Genomic DNA, 24,971 nt, shown 5'->3' on the forward strand with positions numbered 1-24,971 from the left:
ATATAAAAAAGAAATGAGAACAGAAGGGAGAGCTCTGTGGGATTATTTTTGTAGGCTGTGTGAGAGGTATATGAAGCCTTAAAAGAGGAAAGAAAAAAATGTGTGAACAAAAAGGTGGAAGAAGCTTGAAGATGAGATATGAGCATGTGATTAACTCTACAGAAACATCAGGGAGATGAAAGAAAGGAACACTGAAGTTTTTAAATTATAAAGTTATTAGTGAACTTCAAAGAAACAGATTTCAGGTTGTTACCCAGTTATAAAGGAGTGAGGCAGGAGAGTGCAATATGCTGTATCTCATGGGTAAAGGGGTGGCGTGTGCATATCATAATTCTGCTAGTGTCCTGGCTCTGCCACTTGTCAGTTGTGACTAAACAGACATGTTACTTCACCTATTCAAGCCTAATTTACTCATATGTAAAATAAATATAATGGTAATATGTGGCTCATCAAGTAAGCCTTAAATGCTTGTAGCATAATTGTCTACATAGCATATGCTCAATGATTAGTAGCTCTATTATTGCTATTACTTAAAAAAACCCAGCAGAGCAGAAGAGAAGAAAGAAAGAATTCCTGATTGTTTCATGTAATTTTGAGTCATGGCAAACACCATATCCATAGAAAAATGGATAGGAAGAGACTAAATAAATTCCATTTTAGAGATTTAAGTGATGATGTGGGCTAAGGTATAGCTACACCTATGGGAAGCTAAAAAGACATGAAATTAGACATAATTAGATTGAAAAGTCCAACTAAGTTAAGGTCAGGGTAGTGTTGAGATGGTAAATGTCAATGTTTAAAAGGAGGTGCAAAGTGATTTAGCTTCAAATACATTGAATTCTTGGTAATATAGACATGAATATTTTCCATTGTATAACAGAGTTTTCACCTGTACTATGGAAACCTATTGTGTCCTTCATTCTTGCTTCTTGAGTAAGATATTGACATAAGAATAAATAATGTTTAGGTTATTTCTTCTTTATAAGGAAGTATAACAATATATTGTAGTATGATCCATAATTCCCAGAGATCCATGTTAATTTACCTTGCCATTACAGTGTAACAAATAATAGTGTAGAAGTTACAAAAAGAAGGGAAAAAGCATCAGAGTGAAAGTTTAGATAAGAGTTATTTAATTATTCACAATTAAGAAAAGGGCTTTACCCTATAGTTGTTTATTATTTCATGGTTTTGCCCAAGTCGTTTGGGCACTCTTGCCTTCTATTTTTTCTTTTTATTTTAAAGTGGGACAATTAAAACGACATACAATTAAACCCTAATAAAGTTTAAGAACTTTTGAGAAATTTAGTAAATAAAATTGATTGTTATGAAAATCCGTGACAATTGGTTTTTAAGAAAATAAATAATTAAAGGCTTAAGTGGCAGTCCACAATGCAAACTGGACTTATACACACGTAAATACATATATATGTGTATATGTGTGTGTGTAATACACATACACACTAGAATTAACCTCTTTTTTTATAACAATGGATATAAAATAAAATGATCAGATTTCTTTTTCAGATTTTGGGTCATTATGACTGATTGTATTTCATTTTATATCCTTTTCAAACTAAGAAAAACTTATGATATTATAAGTTGAAGATAAAAGAATATATATTTATAAAAACTTTCTATATATTATTTCTATGTTATGTATATGTGCATATACATGTTTTTGTATATGTGTGTGCGTATGTGTGTATCCCCACAAAAATAAAGAGAATGCCATAAGGTCCATTAGCAGACAAATATTTTGCGTAAATGTTTGGAAGGCTAACAGAACAATAGTGGGTGAAGCTGGGCAGAAAATTTGCAGACTAGGGAATCAGTGTTGCAGCTCAGTAGAAAACTTATCTTCTCATCACAATCCTAGGATGTGTCATGATTTGGACATATCATATGGCAGAAAACTGGAATGAGACATGAGGGTGAACTAGAATAAAGTAGAATGGAAGTCTGTAGCTCCCTTTCCCATGCTGTGTTTGAAGAACATAATTCGGAGGAAAAAAATAGGATTACAAAATGTAAAAAGCTGCAATTAACATCATCAGAGTGAGTCAAGAAAAGACTGATCTAAAAGTAAGAGCAGAATAATATAAAAAAAGACAGAGAACAGAACAACAAAATACTCCTGAAATTAACATTTTTTTTAAAAAAACCACTACAAAAAAAAATCAATAGAACTAGAAGACAAAGAGGAAAATATCACCATGAAAATAAAGTATAAGACAGAAAGTGATAGTTAAAATATAATTAGTGCTTAAACCTAGAACATCCAAAAACCAAAGATTCAAAATTCCACAGAGATAACAGAAAAACGCAGGGTAGGAAACTATTGAAGAATGATTGCAGGAAAAATATCTCAGAACTAAAGGTTCTGAAGCTCTTTGTTGAAAGGGGTCATGGAATACCAAGTCCTGAGAATGACCAAAAAAAACTCCTCTTGACTCGTCCATGTGAAATTTTATAACAATAAGGATAAAAAAAAGAAGACCATTATGCAAAAAACCATATCACATAGAAAAGAATGACATGGTCACTATGCTATCTCATCACCTCAGTTGGATGCTAAAATATGAGAGAAACTGTTTTCAGAATATTGAGGAAATCATTTAAAAAACATAATTCAAATGAGAATTATGTACCTAGCCAAACTACAGATTGATGAGGCAAATAAATAAATAAATAAATAAATAAATAAATAAATAAATTCAAGGAAGGAGTAATTTATGAAAATAACACACACCTACCACCACATACACATGTCCCTTCCTTTAGTAACCAAACTCAGGCTGTTTATTGACATTTAATAAACTCTTTCTTCAGGTCTAGTAATAACTTAGGGGTCACTTCAAATATAAGGCCTGCGTATTGACATGTGGTTTTAGGAATTCCCATTTTTAATAAAATAGTTACTGAAATTTTCCAAGGATTTCTGTGGGCAATAGCACATCCCTTCTAATTTTTTCTTCCTACCATTTGTTTATCCTGTTTGGCTCAAGATCTGGGCCTAACTATTTTAACACTTTTTTCTCTCTTTTCATATGTACACCTCTGCTTTTCAATCTTGCAGAAGAATTTTGACATTTGCACCTAGGAAATGTTTGTCTGGCTCCTCTTATGTTGTAGAAGCGGTGAGTTTTAATGTATAACCAATGCAATCCATAGTTCAAAGATTCCTAATTCTTATATTATGCTTAAAGGTTCTCTGTGATTCTCATAATTATATGTAGTCAATATTTAAATGATTTAGTGAACTTCATAAGATTGTCACTAGAATTTCAGAATCAAGACATTTTAGAGGAAATTTGTACAACACTAAGTTCAACAAATTAATTTTGCCAAAGAAAACAGAACACTGGGAGGCTAAGGAGCTTGACCCATATTTCTGGTGAGAATTTGGTACAAAAGTAATTTTAGATCATTTCTAGCATATCACATCGTTTCACTCATATGTGTTGATCTAATACTTCATTGAATATAATTAAATGTAACATTTAAAAATAGATATAAGTAACACACATATGTTACATATAATACATACATACATACTTCTATAAAAGTAAACATGCAAGGCAATAACAAAATTATGGTTTAATTATTATTAATAGTCAAAATTCCCCATATAAATTCTAAACATTTTTATAGTGCTTAATGCTTAAATGAAGGTCAGTAATTTTGTTATTATAAATAAAACAGAACCCAACATGTTATAAGTATTGAAATATTAGGCCTAGTGTGATGTCATAGCATAAAATGTATCCCATAATATTTATATTTACGAGCACCAAAGACCTCTTTTCCCCATATCTCTCCTCTGGTGACCCATTGTATCTGAAATCATTTCTATTCATTTTTTTCCATATATTTGGGTTTTTTTGTGTGTGTTTTAAACCAAGCCAGTTTTTAAAAAAGAAAATATGATGAACACCTGTGTGATTGATATGGGCCGAATTGTGTCTCTTCAAAAATCATATGTTGAAGTCCTAAATCCCAGCAACTCACAATGTGATTATATTTGGAGACAGAGCCTTTATAGAGGTAATCAAGATAAAAAGAGCTATTATGGGTGGGTCCTAATACAGTATAACTGGCATCTTTTTTTTGTTTTTGTTTGTTTGTTTGTTGGTTTTGAGAGAGAGTCTCACTCTATTGCCGAGGCTGGAATGCAGTGGTGACAACTCAGCTCACTGCAACCTCTGCCCCCTGGGTTTTAAGCAATTCTGTCTGCCTCAGCCTCTGGACTAGCTGGGATTACAGGTGCCTGTCACCACGCCCAGCTAATTTTTGTGTTTTTGGTAGAGACAGGGTTTCGCCATGTTGGCCAGGCTGGTCTTGAACTCCTGACCTCAGGTGATCCATGTACCTTGGCCTCCCAAAGTGCTGGGATTACAGGCACCGCGCCCGGCCTGGTGTATTTTATAAGAAGAGCAATTAGGACATGAGTAAGCACAGAGGGAGTACCATGTGAACACACAGAGAGAAGACGGCCATGGGCAAGCCAAGGAGGGACTCCCAGGAGAAATCAACTCTGTCAACACCTTGATCTTGGATGTTTTGCCTCCAGAATTGTGAGAAAATACATTTCGGTTAAGTCACTCAGTCTGTGATATTTTGTTATGGCAGACCTAGCAAAGGAATGCAGTGGTGTGGCAAAAATAAAAGCCGGATGTACTCAAAAGTATTTAACAGTTTGGTGAAAATAAGATCTACTTATTTCATATTTTTGTTTAGCACCTCAGCCATGAAGTTTGAAATGACCTGCCCCTCACAAGTTTTCTCCATGCTACCGTTGCTTCTGCCAAATGATCTCATGCAGAGGCAGTTAGATTTCCTAGCAAAATGCAAAATGCAGCAATTCCTGATGGGAATCTTTTTGTCTATCAGAAGTAATCTTGCATAGTAAGCTTCTTCAGGGGTTATATATCAATCCATAGCAAATCATGTTGCTAAGGCAAATCCCAAAATTGTCCTAATTTTTCTCTCTAGGATGGTTATGGCATCACCAGCTTTTAAAACATGTTATGTAAATACTTTCCCAAACATACTATAAATTATCACACTACATCAATATTATAATGCAGTTCTTGGGATAGACAAAGGTAAAATTGGGATGAGATGGAAGAAAACAAGTTCAACAGCCATTCCTGAGAGGGAGAAAATGAGAATATGCAACTGGGAGATATCAACAAAGAAATGGGGAATGTGAATTCAAATGCCCCCATTGCCACAGCATAGTGAGTAGTTGGATCATTTTAAAGGATGTATTTATAAATGAATAACGGTGAATATGATTTTCTTGTGTTGTCTATATTTCTGCCTGTTTTTGTCATGTGTAAATTTTTAGCTTCAAAACCTTGCAAATATTAAATATATCTATAAGTATTTCATAAACCCAGCTAGATAGTGACCATATCTTCAGGATGGACCCATAAGCAACTTTAATTTTTTTCATATATATAGTGACAATATTAGAGTAGTCACTTAAGTAGTTATCATATTCATATAAAATATATTATTTTGTAATTAGTTTGCATCTTTTTATGTTTTCCACGCTAGTGTGCAATCCGCTTGAAAGCAATGTATGTGAGTTTAGTTTACTAATGCGCTTATAAAATCTAATATTACTTAGAAATTTGCATCATTACACGGAATTTGTAAGGGATAATTTACATTAAGATTTTTGTAGATGAGAGAACAAAGAGGTAACTATGAGCTCCAATATAATAATGGTGCTCACAAAGTTGAAGTCCATGTAAGTAAAGTAAGTATATCAGCTGCCTGAAATTGAATTTACGTTCATTTTAGGATTCAGTCATTGGTTTGAACTTTTTTAAGTCCCTGATTTTTTATTTTTTTCAATAATGTATAACAAATATTTTTAGACATCTTATAAATCCATCCTCTATTATTTGATATGTATTTTATTTTTGCTGCTCATCAAAGAATCACTAGATTGTAAGAAACTCTGAGAAACTGTATAATGAATTTCTCTTTCCATGCTTAAATGAATGGCACTTTTTTCTTCTAAGAATTTTCATAGAAACACAACTTGAAATTACATCTATGACTAAAAGCTGAATCTGGTGACTGTTAAAACCAATTTTCCACACACCAGTACAATATTAAGCAAAACCAATATTTATTTTAATGTGTAATTTGAGCCCTGAGGCCTCTCTTTATAAAGAGGAATATTTTTTCTTTTTTTTCTTTCTTTTTTTTTTGGAAAAGAAAGTAACATTTTAATGAACAGCTTTAATGTGAACTAATGTTAAGATCAAACATTGTTTCTAGAATTTGGGACTTACATATTGAACTTGATATTTTCATATTTATTTCAATTTTCTGAAAGGATAGGATAAACAAATACGTTTTAGCATACAGTTTAAAAAAGAAAAAGAAAACCTTTTGAATTAGAAGAAGGTGGAGATCAGAAAGTGTTCTTCTTTTGTTCTCAAAAGGAATGAGGAGAGTCAGAGTGTCGCTATTGCTTCTTGACATAAAGACGGTGTCTTTGTTTTATGTCTTTATCTCTGAATCCCGCAATACCATCACAGCAGAGTGTACTGTACACCACTTTAAATGATAAGAGTTTCAATAGGCACTTTAGTGGAATTAAGAAAAATCTAACACTCTTCCACCGTGATGCCACATAGCTATCTTCGTTCTAGGTTGTCATGTCAGTAAATTGTATTGAATAGGCCTGAGCTTGTCTCAGTGTGATTGTGAAAAAACAAAACAACAAAACAAAGCAAGTACACATTATAGGATGTATCTCTTGTTGGCAGAATAAACCAAAACTGACAATATGATTAATTTAGTAACTTACTAGAAACCAGGTAATCAAAGGAATCTTGTCCCAGAGTGTGTGTGTGTGTGTGTGTGTTTGTGTGTGTGTGTGTGTGTGAGAGAGATTTCTATTAATATTTGTGTTTCTTTTTCTTTTTTAAAAATCTCCCCTCTCGGTTGTATTTTAGCCTCCACGACTCCCTTAAGTGACTTTATCAGGGTTATAACTCTCTTCTTCGCCAAACATGTCTGCCAAGACTTTAAAGCGGGGTCCCCAGTCTGTCAGATAGTCATAGTCCTGGTCGGCTTCTGTGGTGAGAGAGTCTATAGAGCTGAGGGACTCTGCCACGGACCCACTCCCTTCGTAGGCATATGTGGCCAGTGAATCGTATGGTGGGGCAGTTGGATCCACATCATTTTCCTGTAGCCTTTGATGAATGAAATCCCTTATGTCTGTGTTATCTTCCATGGGTGGTCTCTGACGAGGTAAACAGAGAGAGTCTGGTTTTATATCCCTGCGAATTTTGTTCTCCTCAATCACTTTTGGGTTTCTCAGAGCCCCGATGTCGAAAGCCTGGGTATCTTCCTCCCCACCTCCTTCATCATCGTAATGGATGACGTTGTCTCTGATGTCTTCTTTAGAGGTCATCAGGGTGTCTTTTTTCTTCTGCCTTCGCAGTGCTACATACAGTACAACTATGGCTGGAACAAGACAAAAATTGCAATTTGAGAATAGAAAGCAGATAGGTCATTTCATCTCTCCATAAAAATTAAAAATGATTAGGGGTGGCTGAGTTTCGTGAATGACCTCCTGTTACTTTCATAGTAAACATACCATAATCAATAGGATCATACATATGTTTAAATTTTGAAATTGTTAACTAACAAGAAACCATAGCAAAGTTATTCACAAAATGAAACAAGTATGTCTTTATATTAAAGTATTTTAGGGTCTGGTAAAAGTGTGTGTTGCAACAAAAGAAAAAAGGAAATAGTAGTTCTTCCACTCATACAGAAAATTGTAAGAATATAAGAAAACTTGAATATTATCATCCATAAATAAGACTACCATTCATTGCTAACTTCCCAATTGGAACATTCCTAATTTTAAATTAGAAATTTATGTTTCTTATGCGATAAGCCCAAATCTTCACTGTGACCATTATTTTTAAAGGCAATAAATAAGAAAGAGAGAAGTAGAGGAAGTAGAGGAAGGAAGGAAGAAAGGAAAGAAGGAAGGAAGTAGAGGAAGAAAGGAAGTAGAGGAAGGAAGGAAGTAGAGGAAGGAGGAAGGAAGGAAGGAAGATGTTAAGGACCTTAGTTTTATAAATCTTACAAACTAAAGCATTAATTTCAATTCTGTGTCCTGCCATATTGAGAAAGTTTTTAAAACAAGTGCCTAGAATTCAGGTTACCTTCATAAAACAATATTTTAAAATTGTTAATTTATGTACTTTTATTATCAAAATCTCTCTTTATTCCCAGTTGATTTAAAGCTCTCCACTAAATCAATGGTGTTTATTTCTACTATGCATGAATAGGCACAGATACAAATGACGACGTCAGTGCTCAGCTTTTCTTGTCATAATAACCCCTCTCCTCCATAGTGGTGTCAACAGGTGAAAGCTAATGTGTGTTTGATTTACCAGAGCAGAGTCTGGAAGACACCTGTCATAGAATTATAAAGTAGAGAAGAATGCATGATGATAAAATTTCATTTATTCTCTCTTCCTCCAAAATTAGAGATGGACCAGTTGGAAGGAGAGAGGAGATCTAGGTAGAGTTTCTGTACAGTGGGCCTTGGGAGACGTTTAGCACCCTGCACTCCTCCCAAGAGTTTATGGAATCTCAGAACAAAGGACATGATTGTTTGTTCCTCTACCAAGTATGTGAGAGACTGCAGACCTCATGGAGCAGCCCCATACATAAAATGAGTTCAGAATCACCATGGCTGAGAAAGAAACTAGCTGGATGTGCCTGAGGTCCATTTAAAAGGGACCCAAGCACCATACCTTTCTGTTCTTTCTCTCACCCCACAAAGGACATGAGAATGGCTGAGAACAAGCTAGGGGACCTAAAGGAGTGTGAGATTGCTCAAGGAGGTCAAAGATTAGATGGATTTTAAGCAGACCCTATGACAGGACAAAGAGTGTCAATATACACTGCTGTATACCAAAAATTCACCATGCCTAGAATAGTGCTGGTGCTCTGTGGACGCTCTGGAAGTATTTGGATAAATGAGTGGCAGATGGTAGTACATGATAAAGATGACCTGAGCAGATTACTTGCTACAGTGTATGACGGCCAGAACATACCAAGCCATGTTAGGTTGATACTGTCAACTCAAATAACAAACAGAAAGAGTTTCTCTGAAATAAAATATATTTATTTGGAAATAGAGTATAGCAATGGGAATGTGAGTGCCATAGTAAACTATGTGTGTGTTCAAGAGATAAAGGAAGACAAAGGTTTTCAAAGAAAAAAACGAGGAGGATACATAATTGTTTTAAATAATTATCCTTGACTACAAAGATTAATAACAAGGGTGATGCCAGTCCAACATTGGACAGGCAGTTGCTGGGCAGATGTTCCGGCAGAAATGATTTTGTATAAGGTTGTGATGGCCTTTGTGCGGGGTTGTGATTTTTACAGTCTTTTTCATTACAGGCATATAAGGGTGAAAACCCTCTCTCCATGGTCTTCCCTAGCTCTATTTGTCAGGGTTTTCTTGACATTAGTGACTCCATTTTGACTCTTACAACTTTCAAAATATAGGAATACTCCAGGACTCAGCTACAAGAGAAGAGAGGCATATGAGAGAGAAATACTTCATTTGATGTTAAACACCTAAATGATCTTGTTAAATTTCAGATGTGAAAATATTACTTGGAATGTGTCCTTAAGGTTTATATTAACACAAAAGATGCCAGGGATAATTTATTATGAATTATAAGGATATAAAGAATACTTTGCTCTGCACACCAAAGTTTCTCACGTGGAATTAATATCTACACCATGCCAATTGGACTAGAATTTCACCTTCTACGTCAGCATGAACTTCTGACTCAGGGAGTGCTCTCCACAAGCTACCATATAACGCGTTACTCCGTGCCTTTCATCTCACTAATTATTTTTTTTTCTTTCCTAGAGATAAAGTCAGGTGTCCATATTTGTCAGATTATTTTTGGTTAAACAGTAAATATGCATACATAATTTGATTCCACAATACCCAGTTGTATATCTGTTGTCATTTGATTTTAAAGGAATGAGGCATAATAGAAAATCTCTCTCTACTTTTGTCAATCTGGCAGTGAATTAATAAATGGAGAAGCTGAACAGAGTTCATGGAAGAGGGAACTTCCTAATAGGTTTATATTCACTCTCACAGAGATATTATAGAATACATTTACTCCAATCATTTTGCTTTGGAGTGTTTCCAGATATTTTAGTCTGTTCTGTTCTAGTGGGAATGGTTAGAATTTTGATGTAAGGAGATGCAAGAAAGTGGAAGAATTACTTATGGATGGCAGTTTAAACAGAAAAGACAAATTTGAGGATTACTTTACATTCTGTTTCTTTCTGTTCGCTCTTTTATCTTCCTTTCTTTATTGAACTGGAATTTGAGAACCACTGTTCATCAAGTATATTTTTTAAAAGATGACATAATCTCTTATTAGACAGCAGCAATTACTAGGAAGTAAAACAAATTGAGAAGTTGTTGTAAATGGATATTTATTAAAGAGGATTTCATTGTGACAAGGGTCACAAACTATTATTACTAGAAAATCTCTTAGGTCTTGAACATATTTTTGGTGTTTATTTTATGATGTTATTTATTTATCCCCAATAATATATATCCAAGAAGTATGAAATAGAAAAATAGCATTAATAACAATTTAATTCAATACACATAGATTATCTTCTAGCTAGGTATGACATGTCAATGAATAAAAACTTGTTTACATGATAAATTGAGGAGAGAGATGGAGGAGAGAGAGGGGAAAAAAAGGAAGAGAGAGCGAGAAAAAATTAACAATGATTAATATTGAAACCAACCTAAGAGTATAACAATGCATAGTAGAATTGCAATCAACGCCCCAGTGCTAAGTCCTACAGGTAGAAAAATTGCTTCCACATTACAAGACAGGATGGTGCCATCAGAGTCACATCTACAGACTCGAATAGTCATTGTGTTTGTGCTGCTCTGGACAGGGTAGCTGCTGTCTTCTATTACAACAGGGAGGAAATACAACTCTTGCTGCCTGCGGCTGTATCCATTTCTTCGGGTTTCAATCCCCGCTGTGTTGTCTACAAAACATGACATTTATGGTAACATGGTTACTATAAGCTTCACTTCAAATCTTCAAGTTGGTATCTGCTCAATAGTAAGAAGCTCTTCTTGAATCAGGAAAATGGATTCTTATTTTTTTTATTTCTGTTCACATTATGAAAACTGCCAAAATATAATCAAAATAATCCTTAGAGGAAAAACAAACATTAATCTTGTCTGATAGAAGAATTAAATTTTCTATTCAGAAAGATTATGGAATGCTTTACAAGACAGAAAGTGTGTTAAATTGATCAATTTTTTTATGACATTGCAATCTCATTAAAAAATAGTTTTGTAAATAGTTTCATGCATAATAGAAAATATTACAAACTATGAATCTGTAAATTATCTCAAATAAGAACCTATTCTTTAAACTATATTAAAACCAATTGACTATTTTAAATTAAGGATTTTTCTATCTACATGTTGTATATGTATATATGTTTATAAATATATGTTATATATGTTTGTATGTATGGGAATACTTTCACCTCTGCATATCAGCTGGAATAAGAAACATGGAAAGGAAAATAAGATTTGTTAAAAACATTAAAAATTGTAAACACCTTGAACTATAACAATGACTACTTTAATATGATTTAAAAAGTAACTCATTGTAATTCTGGTTAATTCAAAAACAATAATGTTTACTTGCAATAATGTGAGACAATAAAAATTACTATTTTTATATAAATGCAATTAATACTTCTATTGAAAGTGCTCTTTTGCATGCATTTGCTCTTTTATTTCTACACAAATAAGCAGAAATTTTGTTTTATGAATAACAATATTTCATTTGTGTGTCACAGTAACCCCTAGAAACGCTTTGTTATTTTTAGAAATGTGACAATATGTAGTTTATTATAGCTATGCATAACACTTGAGAATAAGGTGAGATAATTTTTAAAAGTGTATAATATATTACAGTTGTGCAGGTCTGTCACAAATATGTTACTATTTCAATCAGATTCCATTTTTCTATTGGCAGACTTTAAATTCAACCACTGAAATTGAGGCAGGTTCTTCAGCAATAGGAAGCACCAAGACGAGAAAACTTTATGGGATATGATTAGGGATGAACAAATGGATATTAATTGAATCAACATTTAAATCTTCAGCAATTGATGGTTGAACACTTGAGTCCGCGGAAAAGGAACAGGCTAGGAATAAAGTTCATAATCTGAGTGAAAATGACTAATAGAAATAGAATGTCTGGTGTGTCTGCACTTGGGAGAAGGTAGGGATTTGGTATTCTTGAACTCAATGTATGTGTCAAATGGCAGCCTAACCCTTTTTAAAATGTTTATTTTCAATTTATTTATTTATTTTGAGATGGAGTTTCACTCTGTCGCCCAGGCTGGAGTACAGTGGATCAATCTCGGCTCACTGCAACCTCCGCCTCCTGGGTTCAAGCGATTCTCCTGCCTCACCCTCCTAAGTAGCTGGGACTACAGGTGCCTGCCACCACGCCCAGCGAATTTTTGTATTTTTAGGAGAGATGGGGTTTCACCATGTTGGCCAGGCTGGTCTCGAACTTCTGACCTCAGGTGATCTGTCCACCTTGGCCTCCCAAAGTGAGCCACCGCACCCAGCCCAATTTATTATTTATTGAAAATTGACCATAACAAATTTATTGTGATGTCCATAGTGAGAAGAAAAAGACATACTATATTTTATTTCCTCTCTAAATGCTTTCTTTTCACTAAAAATACCTTACAAATCTAATTCATTATAAAACAAGGAACATGGTAAATGGCACCTGAAATTTTGTGACAAGTACATGTCTAGTCCATGAGAAAGCACTCTGCTATAAGTCAGTATCATGTGGTTCCCATTAACATGATTAATCTGAAATAGCTCTTTCAGCAAAGATACGTTGTGGAAAATAGTCAACACTTGGGTTTGGTGAATGATGTGACTATCTACCTAGTTGCTGAAGCCTAAGACCTGGAAATCTATTTTGTCTTATTACATGATATACACATATTGAATCTAGGGCATCTATCATGAAGTCTTATCAATTCTATTTCCATCCATTTGTCTCCATCTTCACAGTCAGTACCCTAATCTAAGGCTCTCACCCATTTACTGCAATGACATCTGAACTAGTTTTATCTCCCTATGATATATTTTCCATGCTACATCCAAGCAGATTTCCCTATAATGTAAATATGAATATGTTATATTCTTGCTTAAACCTTTCAAAGACTACTAACATTATTGGTTTAAGTTATCTCCTGAAATGGCTTCTGGATAGGGTCCTCATATGGTCCAGTTTGTCTTAGACAGACCTATTTTATGTGTGCTGCTGTGACATAACATTATAAATATTTCCCCCTTTTTTATAAGTGTTTCAGTCTTTATGATAAAATATGTGGTCACTCTCATTATAAATAACTTCAAGATTGGACTGCTGTTTGTCTTATGGCCATTTCTCACATTGCATATTTTATTCAAACTCTACTCAACTTGCTTCAGTGATAAAATGTGGAGACTCTGATTTTGTGGAGACTCTGACTTTCTTTGCCTAATCATTGTAGCAAACTAATCTCTTCAAAATATCCTCTGATTCTATCATCATCATCACCATCTCAATACAATTTGTTCACTTGTTCTATATGCATAGAATTTATAAAAATTTATCTTTTTATTATCAGGTTATAAAATCAGGTGTTTTGATGATTATTTTAGAGAATATGGAAACTTAGAGGACATAAAATACCCAAGGTTACAGACCTAATAAAGTCAGAGATACTGATTGATACTCAACCTTAATATTTCTAATCCAGTGTCCTTTATATTTTTGTAATGGTTGTAATTGTAGCAAATGTAGTAGCGTTAGCAGTAGTAGCAGCAGTAGGATTGATGGCAATAGCAGTGGTAGTAGAAGAATAAGTGTACACCATGCAATAGTTCACAGCCATAAAAAAGAATGAAATCATGTTCTGTGCAGCAACATGGATGCATCTGGAAGACATTATCCTAAGCAAATTGATACAGAAGCAGAAAACGAAACACCATATACTCTTACTTATAAAAGGGAGCTAAACTTTGGGAACACAGAACACAAAGATGGCAACAACTAACACTGGGCATGCCAAAAACGGGGAGAAAGGGAGGAGACAAAGGGTTAAAAAAACTGCTTATCAGGTACTAGGTTCACTACTTCAGCAATGGGATCATAGAAGCCCAAACCTCAGCATCATGAAATATACCCATGTAACAAAGTGCTAGGATTCAGTGCTGCACCTGAATCTAAAATTTTAAAAAGTAAAATTAAATTAAAAAAAGTTGTATTCCATATCATGTTAAATAATAGATATAGTCCACATTTAAAGTATAATGTTTCTATTCTTTGCAGGTAGAATTTTTTATCTGTAATTGTTAAGTGGCTTTTTTTTTAATGATTAGAGTTTCATTTACAGTAATGTGTAAAGACAAATTTTACACAAATTTATTTTTAAAGAGTTTCATTCTTTCCTTCCTCTTCATTAGTCTTTAAGTAGCAAATTCTCATTATAAACTATGCAAACCATGTCTCTCCCTCCCTCTAAATAAATAAATAAATAAAAGTATAAGTGTAAACCATGATGGCATTGGTGGTGGCTAAAATGATCTTGATGGTAACATGTTTTAGGCATTTTGTTAAGGCTTTGCAAATATGATTTTATTTAATAAAAAATATTATGAGGTTGACTTGATTTAGTAAAATTGTATACATTAAGAATCTGTCATTTTGGTAGTATGGAACAAAAATGCAAACCTATGTCATGTCAAATATAATACCTGCATTCTTTAAATTTATTTATTATTTATTTATTTTTTAACGTTTATTTTAGATTTGAGGGTAACGTGAAGGTGTGTTACATAGGTAAACACGTGTCATGGGGGTTTGTTGTATGTATTATTTCATCACCCAGGTCTTAAGCCCAATACCCAATAGTTATCTTTTCTGCTCCTTTCCCTCCTCCCATCCTCACCCCTCAAGTAGACTCCAAGGCTTGTTGTTTCCTTGTTTGAGTTCCTAAGTTCTTATCATTGAGCTCCCACTTATAAGTGAGAACATGCAGTATTTGATCTTCTGTTCCTGTGTTAGTTTGCTAAAGATAATAGCCTCCAGCTCCATCCATGTTCCTACAAAAGACATGATCTCATTCTTTCTTACGGCTGCATAGCATTCCATGGTGTATATATATGTACCACATTTTCTTCATCCAGTCTGTCACTGATGGGCATTTAGGTCGATTCTGTCTTTGCTATTGTGAATAGTGCTGCAATGAACATTTGTGTGCACGTGTCTTTATAATACCTGCATTCTTAACCTGTGCTGTACGGTGTGTTATTCTAATAAAACAGTTACTAAAGAGCTCCCTGTTAGTTAGTATAAGTAATGTATATTTGGGACAAATGATATGTTTAAAACAGGGAAAGCATTCAATTTCTCAGAGAGTCTTTTATTTGCTTGACTCATTGAGAGACTGTCCACATTTACAATGCAAGCAACCTGCCTTACTAGACAGTCTGTATAGATTAAATATTTAATTTACTACTAGGTACAGAATATTGCCTTTCTCATGTAAGGATCTCATATTTTATGAAATTAAGTGCTTCAAAGAAAAGTATTGATTCCTCCCTTTGTGCCTTTTTACAAAGATACATGATAAGAGGTAAATTTTTCTGTAGTTACACTTACTTCTGAAGTCACGAACTGTAAAATTTGGTTTGATAGCAGCCTCAGGTGATAATCTAAAGGAGAATTGTTGCCCAGCAGGTGAAAGATCTCGGTCTGCAGCACTGACTATCTGAATTATCTGCAACAGAGTTGAGATTAAAGTCGGTCATCAGTTTCAAAGAGGACTTTACACAGCAGGCTACTAAATGTATTTAATGAAGCATGCAAGTAGACAGAAATGGCACTTTTTGAATCAATACCAGTAGGTCAATTATTTACACATAATGTTTATAAACAAATTTCTAACATTTACAGGGAATAACGACAGGTACAATTATAGAACATGGGCTAATTTCAAATTGATACCTGCGTAACTAAAAAGGTAACCAGCATTAAAAATTCACACTAATAAGCAAAGTAAAATTAAAATGTACTTGCTTGCATTTTAAATTAGATGAAATAAATGCTTTCTAGCCTGAATGTGAAAATGCTTACTGAAAACAAAATCTCTGATTATCTAAAAGCCCTTGTGATAGCAAAATTTAGTATGAGTTATGTTTTGTAACAATGGCTCTATTTTCATAAATAAATAAAATGATAAATAGAGATACAAAAGCTGTATATCTGCTTTTGTTATGTTTTTCTTCATTCGGTAGGAATACAAATTGTGTTTTCAAAGAGTTTTTAATAAGCACTATCATTCCTGTTACAAAATTTTTCCTAAATTGCTTCCATACGTTGTGTATCTTACAGTTAAAAGCCTGGTACTTCAATAAAATGCCCTTAAATACTTGGAGAATAAAAATAACTTCTGAGAATCAACCTGTGAAATTTACAATCCATTAAATAGATAAGCAAGTAAGAATGGCTTTGAGGCATTTATTTATTAACATATCCAATGGCTGTGCATCAGACAGAATTTCAGGAAGTGTTATGTGAGAGATGACAAGGGCAGAGTGTTGGCCAGATAATCATGCTCTCAGACTACATTTGAATCTGCAAGAGGAAGGCTCTAGATTTCACACACGGATATCCTGGTCCCAGTGTGTAAAGCATGCATCATGTGATCTTACACTGATGCTATTAAACGTGAGATTCAGTTAAAACCCAATCTATGACTATGATCTATGTTCCTGTTTATCTGCACACACAGAGACACAGATAGATGTTAGATATGTAGGTAGGTAGATGGATGGATGGATAGATATAGATAGATAGATAGATAGATAGATAGATAGATAGATAGATGATAGATATCACTGGGACCTTGGATATCCAGTGCAGCATTAGTAATTTCTAATTTAACAAATTAATTGGTCCTCTCGTATGAATTTTGATTTCTTGTCTTAGTGTGAATTAGTCACACAGACTCTATTTAAGCTTTAAAATTGTCCTGGAGAGAATTTCATTATTCAGCACCAAAGCCTAAATCATGGAATGTGGCAACTTAGTCAATGAATCAACATACAGACCCTATGAAACCAACTTTCCTTCACTTAGACCAATGTCTGCAGATCACTCAATTTCATTGAGAAAATCTCTGTATCTTATCCGGGGACTAATACCTGGCTGTTAAATTTTGCTTTGTTATCCTTCTGTTATAAACTAGCAACATTACTAAATTAAATGTATAACATCAAAATCTATCAAGAACATAACTAGAATAAAGAAAAGTCCTTTAGAATAGCATATAGATATAAAGACTTTGTTATAGACTGGCACTTATCTGGAAGTGTTGCTTGGAAGTCCCTGCCCTGAGGAAAACAACTACCATCTAAATTTGTACTGATTTACATAGCATAATCTTTCCTCCTTTTCTTATTTTTTTCAGAATAAATAGATGAAATGTAGATGATAGATAGGTAGATAATAGATAGTAGCATAATCCAGGAGAGACAGTTCGTATGCATAGTTCTTAGACTAGGGGCAGAATGGCAGGGCTCAAAAACAGAACATATATACATTTCTCATATATTACAATATATTACAATTAATTTCTCATATATTACATCCCTGAAAACTCAATGGACATTTCAGGGTTATGCTTTGTAGAAAAGTGTGGCTCAATTGGACACAAAAACCCCATAAATATATTTTAGAATAAGAGCCTCTAAGAATCCAAGATATTCCTCAAAAGTTTATTCAGATATGAAAAAATAACATTGATTTCAACTAATTTCCTTTTCTCAACTCATCAAATCCTTTAATTTATTGGACAAACATAAAACATTAAATGGAGCTCTATTCCCAAAGGCTTCCATTTGGAGCATTACAAATGAAATTCTAATTGATCTGAAATCACTAATATCCTTAACCACCTAAAAGCTAAAGAACTGGCTTTTTTTTTTTTTTTTTGTCTTTGTTTAGTGAGGCATCCTGAAAGTGGAAAATAGCTAACTTGAGGAATTTTGGTAAACCTCTTCAAACTCCCAAAACAACCAAATCAGGTTATTTATTCAGGCCCAAATATTTTTGTAGCACCTAGGATTTCAGAAACTAAAGAAAGCTGCAGGCTCATCCCATATAAATCGTGGATGCACTTAAGGTGATAAATTTTAAGTGCATTCTGTGCCGATCCAAAATTAACGATGCAGATTTCTTGAGAAAATATCACAAAATAAGTTGTGATGTCAGAAGATTAATGAGTCCCCACATTATCAAATGGAAGAGTAGAGCAGCACAGTCCACTAGAAATGTCCATGGTTATGAAAATACTCTATGTCTGCAGTCACCAAAATTATATCTGCTCACCACAAATTGAGCACTTGAAATGTGATTAGTATGAATGAGAATATAGTTTTTAGTTTCACGTAATTTTAATTTTATTTTAATAGCTATACAACTAGTAGACATCACAGGTTTAGAACTATGGGACAAAGGTTCTACTAAGTGATGTAAAGCATGGAAATTGAAAAAGATACTAAAGATTAAATAACGACTTTTTTCAACAAAAATACTGTTTTAAATATCAAGACTTATTTCAAGTAAGAAATAAAACTTCGAATTTACTTAAGTGAATAGTTACGCTATTTAAAGGTGATCAAAAACTAGAGCAAACCAAAGCATACCAATGCATTTTGTATTTGGAATGCAGATCCACAATATTAGATTAAACATATTTTTGTTTCATGACATAATCTTTTCATATATCCATGCCTGATTCCTTTTATATTATTCCTAAATTCATTCATAAGACTTTAGGAGGAAAAAAATAAGAAAAAATGGCAACCTACCACCACCTAACATAAAACCTTTCACAATCAGTTTCATTAACTTTGTGGTCTTCTTTCCTCATAACATCTTCCCACAACTACATCTTCACAGAATAATATTAACTTCATAAGAAAAATGAAAGTCAGACATTTAAAATAACCCAGATGTTCTCCTCAAGGCCACCAGAGAGGGAAGCTTTGCATTTTCAAGTTAGATTAAAAGATTTGTTGTGCAACTAATACAAGCAAATGAGCAAAATAAGAAATATACTGGGAAAATGCACTCTAAAGTGGCTTGCTTACTGGGTTTACAGTCACAGGTTCTTTAGAAATTTGTGTGTGGGGGCTGGGTGCGGTGGCTCATGCCTGTAATCCCAGCACTTTGGGAGGCCGAGGCAGGCGGATCACGAGGTCAGGAGATTGAGACCATCCTGGCTAACATGGTGAAACCCCGTCTCTACCAAAAATACAAAAAATTAGCTGGGCGTGGTTGCGCGCGCCTATAGTCCCAGCTACTCGGGAGGCTGAGGCACAAAAATCGCTTGAATCCGGGAAGCGGAGGTTGCAGTGAGCAGAGATCAGGCCACTGCACTCCAGCCTGGGTGACAGAGCGAGACTCTGTCTCAAAATAAATAAATAAATACAAATTAAAAAAAAGAAAGAAATTTGCAGGTGTGTCACTTGAGGTCAGGAGTTCGAGTCCAGCCTGGCTAACATGGAGACACCCCATCTCTATTAAAAATACAAAAAATTAGCTGGGCATGGTGGCGCATGCCTATAATCCCAGCTACTTGGGAGGCTGAGACAGGATAATCACTTGAACACAGGAGGCAGAGGTTGCAGTGAGCCAAGAATGTGCCATTACACTCCAGCCTGGGTGACAGAGCAAGACTTCATATCAAGAAAAAAAAAAAAAAAAAGAAAAGAAAAGGAAAGAAATTCAACAGTAGGAGAATAGAAAAACATAGCAGAAACCACAAGTGTAGACCTTTAATTATACAAAGAACTTTCACTAAGCAATCAGTACTTCATCTGTGCGGTATCACCTCCACATACATTCATCTATATCATTAATTCACAAGAGTTTAATTAATCTTTTATGGTTTCTTTTATGAAAGCTCTGATTCAGAAAAACAAATATATGTGTGCATATTCATGTCTGGACTTATAACTTAAAACATGCATATGGTGGGTCTTTATACACTCAAGGAACAATATTTATAAGATACCTGTCCTGGCTTGGCATTTTCACACACGGCTGTCTCATATGGCACAGATATTTCTGGAGGAAATTCATTTACATCTAAGACATTAATCAGTATATTGACTTTGCTGGTCAATAAAGGGTTACCTGTTAAAAACATATAAAGATAAAAGATGATTACAAAATCCGGTCAGTTATTGCTTCTACAATAAATAGTATTTACATTTTTAAAAATCAGCCTTTATATAGAATGAAAAAAAATCCTTCTTATAGGAAATCCTGGGGGTTCCAACTACAAGATGATAAAGGATCCTTTTTATCTTTAGAATTCAATACCAAAGTAAGGCCAACTATTTAATTGATATTTTAGCATAAGTGTAGCCCTTTCTAAAAGAATGACTTAGCCATCATACCAGGGTTAGTTCACAGAACCAATCCTTACCAACAGTGATATTTTTCCCCAGATGAAAAATTGTCTATGTTGTACCCACATAATGAAAACGTTATTGGTTGGATGATCTACATATTTAAATGACTCACTCAAAATGATTCCTCCTAGGAGATTCCTCCTGAAAAGAAGAACTATAACAAAAAAAAAAAAAAAGGGGAAAGAAGGCTCTTTATAAATGAAAAGTATTAAAATAAACTTAAGGAAGTAGAACTAAGAGATGGATTATGGAAAGCTAGTATACTTCCTTAAATTACTTGCTGGTGATAAAAAAGGAAGTAATAAACTTCTATGCAATAACTTACTTCTTCCTACTTCCTAGTATCAGAAAGACTGTCAGTTTGACAAGATGCTTCTGCCAAAATTCCATCACAGGTTTTGGTCCCACCTATGGATTATTATCTGGATCTCTGTCATTTACGGAATAAAACTAGAAAATAATTAAATCAATAAAGCATAAAATAATGCACCTGTTTGAACTTGTGCAATATATAATTTTACCTTATGAAGTGTTGCAGATGGATGAACTGTTTTGCTGAAAAGACCTCTTGCTCAGAGGCAGAAAGCTAAATGAATGGGGAGTTTAGATCCAAACCCAGGATTATAAAAATCTAAAGACCATGTTTATTCCATCATACCTTCTCCATTGATTGGTTTATGAGTTAAATTCTTCTGCAAAGCCACCAAAGACTTATAATATTCTTTTAGACATCTATCTAGAATACTTCAAAGAATGCATACAAAATCATTCCACACGACTGATTTTGAAAGGTATACAATATCTTGCTTAGTTAAAATTCATTTAAAAAATACATAACAAGCGTTTGACACAATAGCTTTAACAGCATTCTGATATTCACATATGACAGTGAAATCCATTATTTGTACCAATACCTACACAGATAACATAAATTGCGTATAAATAGTATGTTCTTATAATACCAGGCGTGCTTATAAAAGGTAGATTAATAATCTTGGAGAATTATTCAGAAAGTACATATTATTTAAAAATTGATATTGGTCACAAGCCACTATCTTATTTAATAGAAACTGTTTGGCCCGGTTTTCACAAGTTGTTTCATCTTTCTTCAACTCAGTTTCCTTGTATGAAATACATGGTTTTCATAGGCCCTGCTTCATAGTGCTGTTGCATTAAATGAGATGGTATTTTACAAGGTGTTTGATAAATTTTGGTAAATATCATTACTCATTACCATTTATACTTTGTGGAGGTGATCAAGATCTGTTTCTGTTATTGCTATCCATTATTTACACAGTATAAAATATAAATAAAAGTTAACAAGTTGGTTAAACTAACTTTACTTTTCTAAAGAAATTGGAAATTACAAACAACAGCAATGCCTAATGCCTAATACTTTAGAATGCTTGCAATGTACAAATATTCAAAGCCACATTACAAACATGAACTAATTTAGACTTTACAGCAACTATGATATAGGCATTATTTTTATCTCCTTTGTGTAGGTGAAACTCTGAAGAGACAGGGATGTAATTTCTCAAATGTCATAAGTCAAAAGTGGTAAGGCTAGGTTTTGATTCCAGCTGTTCTGATTCCACAGCTCATGCTCTTAAAATCTATTATATATTGAGCTTTAGATGAAAAAATAAACCACTTTGACAATTATATAGGTACTTACAAAAAGACAACTAATTCATTTTATAAAGTTTAGTAAATGAATGTGAATAACTTAAACTACTCAACATCTGGGTAATGTAAAACTCAGTTTCTATTTTTTATTTTACATAGTATATAATGTATGAGTCCTGCAGCTACATGAAAATGAGAATGTCTTTTTTACTTTATTTCAGTATTACAGTTTTGTTTTATTAAGTTGGTGTGACAATGGTATATCTTCCACAGGGGACAGGAGTTTTCCTAGAGATTTATTTTATAATATAAGAAAAAGTTATTAAAATGAATTTAGGCCTGGTTTATCTATCAGAAATTAATTCTCTTCTGCTAGTTGTAAATTATTTTCTAACCTACAAAATAGATTCTAATATCTGTTATGAGTAAATTGTCCCAAACTTATTCTTAATATTGTAATTTTTTTATTAACAGTGTTTCCCCAAAAGTACTATTGGCATTTTAGCTATGACAATGTTTTGTTGTGTGAAACTTCCCTGATCACTAGATATCCTACAGATATTTAGAAATATCTAATTTAGAAATATCTAAATTTCCTGAAGATTAAATGTCACAAGGCATCATTGTGGCAATACAAAATAAGTGTTCAAATAGAGAGAAAATAACAAAAAAGATGTTTACATTGTTGAAAATGAGTAACAAGTTTATCTGTTTAATAATATTACTCTCTCTTCTATCATGTATTTTCAAAACTTTCCATAATTAAACATTAAGAACGTCACCTAATATTTTTAAGTGGCCATTTAAGAAGCAACAACATCTCAGTTTGAGAACTATTGTACTCAAATATGAATTGAAATTTTCACAAGAATGAATAATGCATAGGAGTAATACAGCATACTTTAATTTATATAGAGATATATTGTACTAAATTATTTTGAAAAGTAATGACCTATTTTCTTACTGACTCATCTAATGAATATTTGGGGCAGCAACGATGAAATTCATTTAACCTTGATTCAGCATGAGTATTATTATACAATTATTTGAAAATAACACCATATGGAAATTAGTTACTGTTGAATACTTATGAAGGAAATTTAATTATGAACCTAGTAAACATTAAATAATCAAAGTCTTACACAATTAAGTGTTAAGTTCCCAATAGTGAAACCATTTAAATTCCAATTATTACTGTTCCACATTGCCTATATTTAATAGCTAGTTACTAATTTGAGGCTCATATCAGATAACAAATAAATAATTCTATGTTTGTCCCTTATACCTTCACAATGCTTTGTTAGATCTTCCTCTCTCTATCTTTCAATAATATCGGAGTCAGATCCTATAGCATTTTGAGTCTATTTGATTTAGAACCTATTTCATTAATATTTTAATGTACAGCTAAACTAAGAGAAAAAAAGGAAAATAATAAATTACCTAAATCTGAAATGAATTAACTACTTCTCATTATAAATGAAATAGAAAATGATAAAGGAATCTTTTAAATTGCTTTATGCAAGAACATAGTTAACAGGTGAAATTGACAAATTCCAACAAAATGCAAATTACCAAAACTGACTCAAGAATAAACAGAAAATCTTAACATAGTTAAAACAGTTAAGAAATGAACTTGTAATGAAAAATCTCCTCATCAAGTAAAGCCCACACCCAGGTGGCTTCATGAGGAATTCTATCAAATATTTAAGGAACAAATAATATCATTTTCTTACAGTCTCTTTCAGAAATAGAGGAGGAAGCACTTACCGCTGAATCCTATGTGCCTTGATACGAAAACCAATTAAAAAATCACAAAAGCCAAAATCACTGACTATTGTTTCTTATAAACATAAATACAAACACTCCTTAACAAAATATTAACGAATTAATTCCAGCAGCAAGTTATACAGATAATATATTATGATGAATGGGTGTTTATCCTGGGGACACGAGGTTGATTTAACATCCAAGAACAATCTCCATATTAATACAAGGAAGAACAAAATGTTACAAGGCTATCTCAATAGGCTTGGAATTTGCATTTGACAAAACCCTAGTCCATTCGTGATAAAAACTCTCAAGAAACAATAAATAAAAGGCAGCTTCCTCAACCTGATAAAGTATGTCTGTGAGAAACTAATATCACGGTAAAAGACTTTTTTATTCTAACACTGTGCACAGAATAAGAATATGTGCTCTTGAAATATATATATATCTTCAACATTGTCCTTGAGAATTTTATGCATTGAAATCAGACCCAAATATAAATTTTTAAATGGTATCCAGATGGAAAGAAAGAAATAAAATGATTATTGCTTAAAGATGACATGAACCTGTAGATGGAAAATGCTAAGGAATCTGCAAATAAACTTAGAGATATAATAAAGGAATACATCAAGTTCATGGGATAGGAGATAAATGTAAAATGACAATTGTACACTTAATATACTAGCAACGTCTAAATTTGTTAGTATATTAATTACCCTTCTATACTCAAAGGAAAGGAGGATAGATCTCACTTCTTGACCAAAGAAATGTCAGCTTAATTGTCAGAAGAACATGTCATATAGGATAGATTTTTAGGTGTGACATAATTAGAATCTGTAATCAGAAATCTCTTTTAGAAATGGGTTCACTGGGAACTACCATTGCAACTTTTGATAAACCCTGGAAAACCTGAATTTTAAATATAAAAGAGAAT

At 33.3% G+C, this 24,971-nt stretch overlaps 1 protein-coding gene across 10 annotated transcripts in view; it reads right to left on the bottom strand.

Moving 5' to 3' along the window:
• Window positions 1–5,933: 5,933 nt before the first annotated feature.
• The window catches only part of CDH12 (cadherin 12), a 1,102,672-nt gene continuing 1,083,634 nt past the window's right edge, over window positions 5,934–24,971 (bottom strand). For 9 of the 10 annotated variants that reach the window (NM_001364104.2, NM_004061.5, NM_001364106.2 and 6 more), the window contains 4 exons: window positions 20,239–20,360; window positions 15,819–15,936; window positions 10,852–11,103; window positions 5,934–7,497 (listed from right to left, as the gene is read on the bottom strand). In NM_001364104.2, the coding sequence (NP_001351033.1) occupies window positions 6,998–7,497; window positions 10,852–11,103; window positions 15,819–15,936; window positions 20,239–20,360 (992 nt within the window). In that variant the 3' untranslated portion in view covers window positions 5,934–6,997. 10 annotated transcript variants of the gene reach the window in all.

The sequence above is a fragment of the Homo sapiens genome, chromosome 5 (assembly GCF_000001405.40).
Source record: "Homo sapiens chromosome 5, GRCh38.p14 Primary Assembly".
NCBI classification, from domain to species: Eukaryota; Metazoa; Chordata; class Mammalia; order Primates; family Hominidae; genus Homo; species Homo sapiens.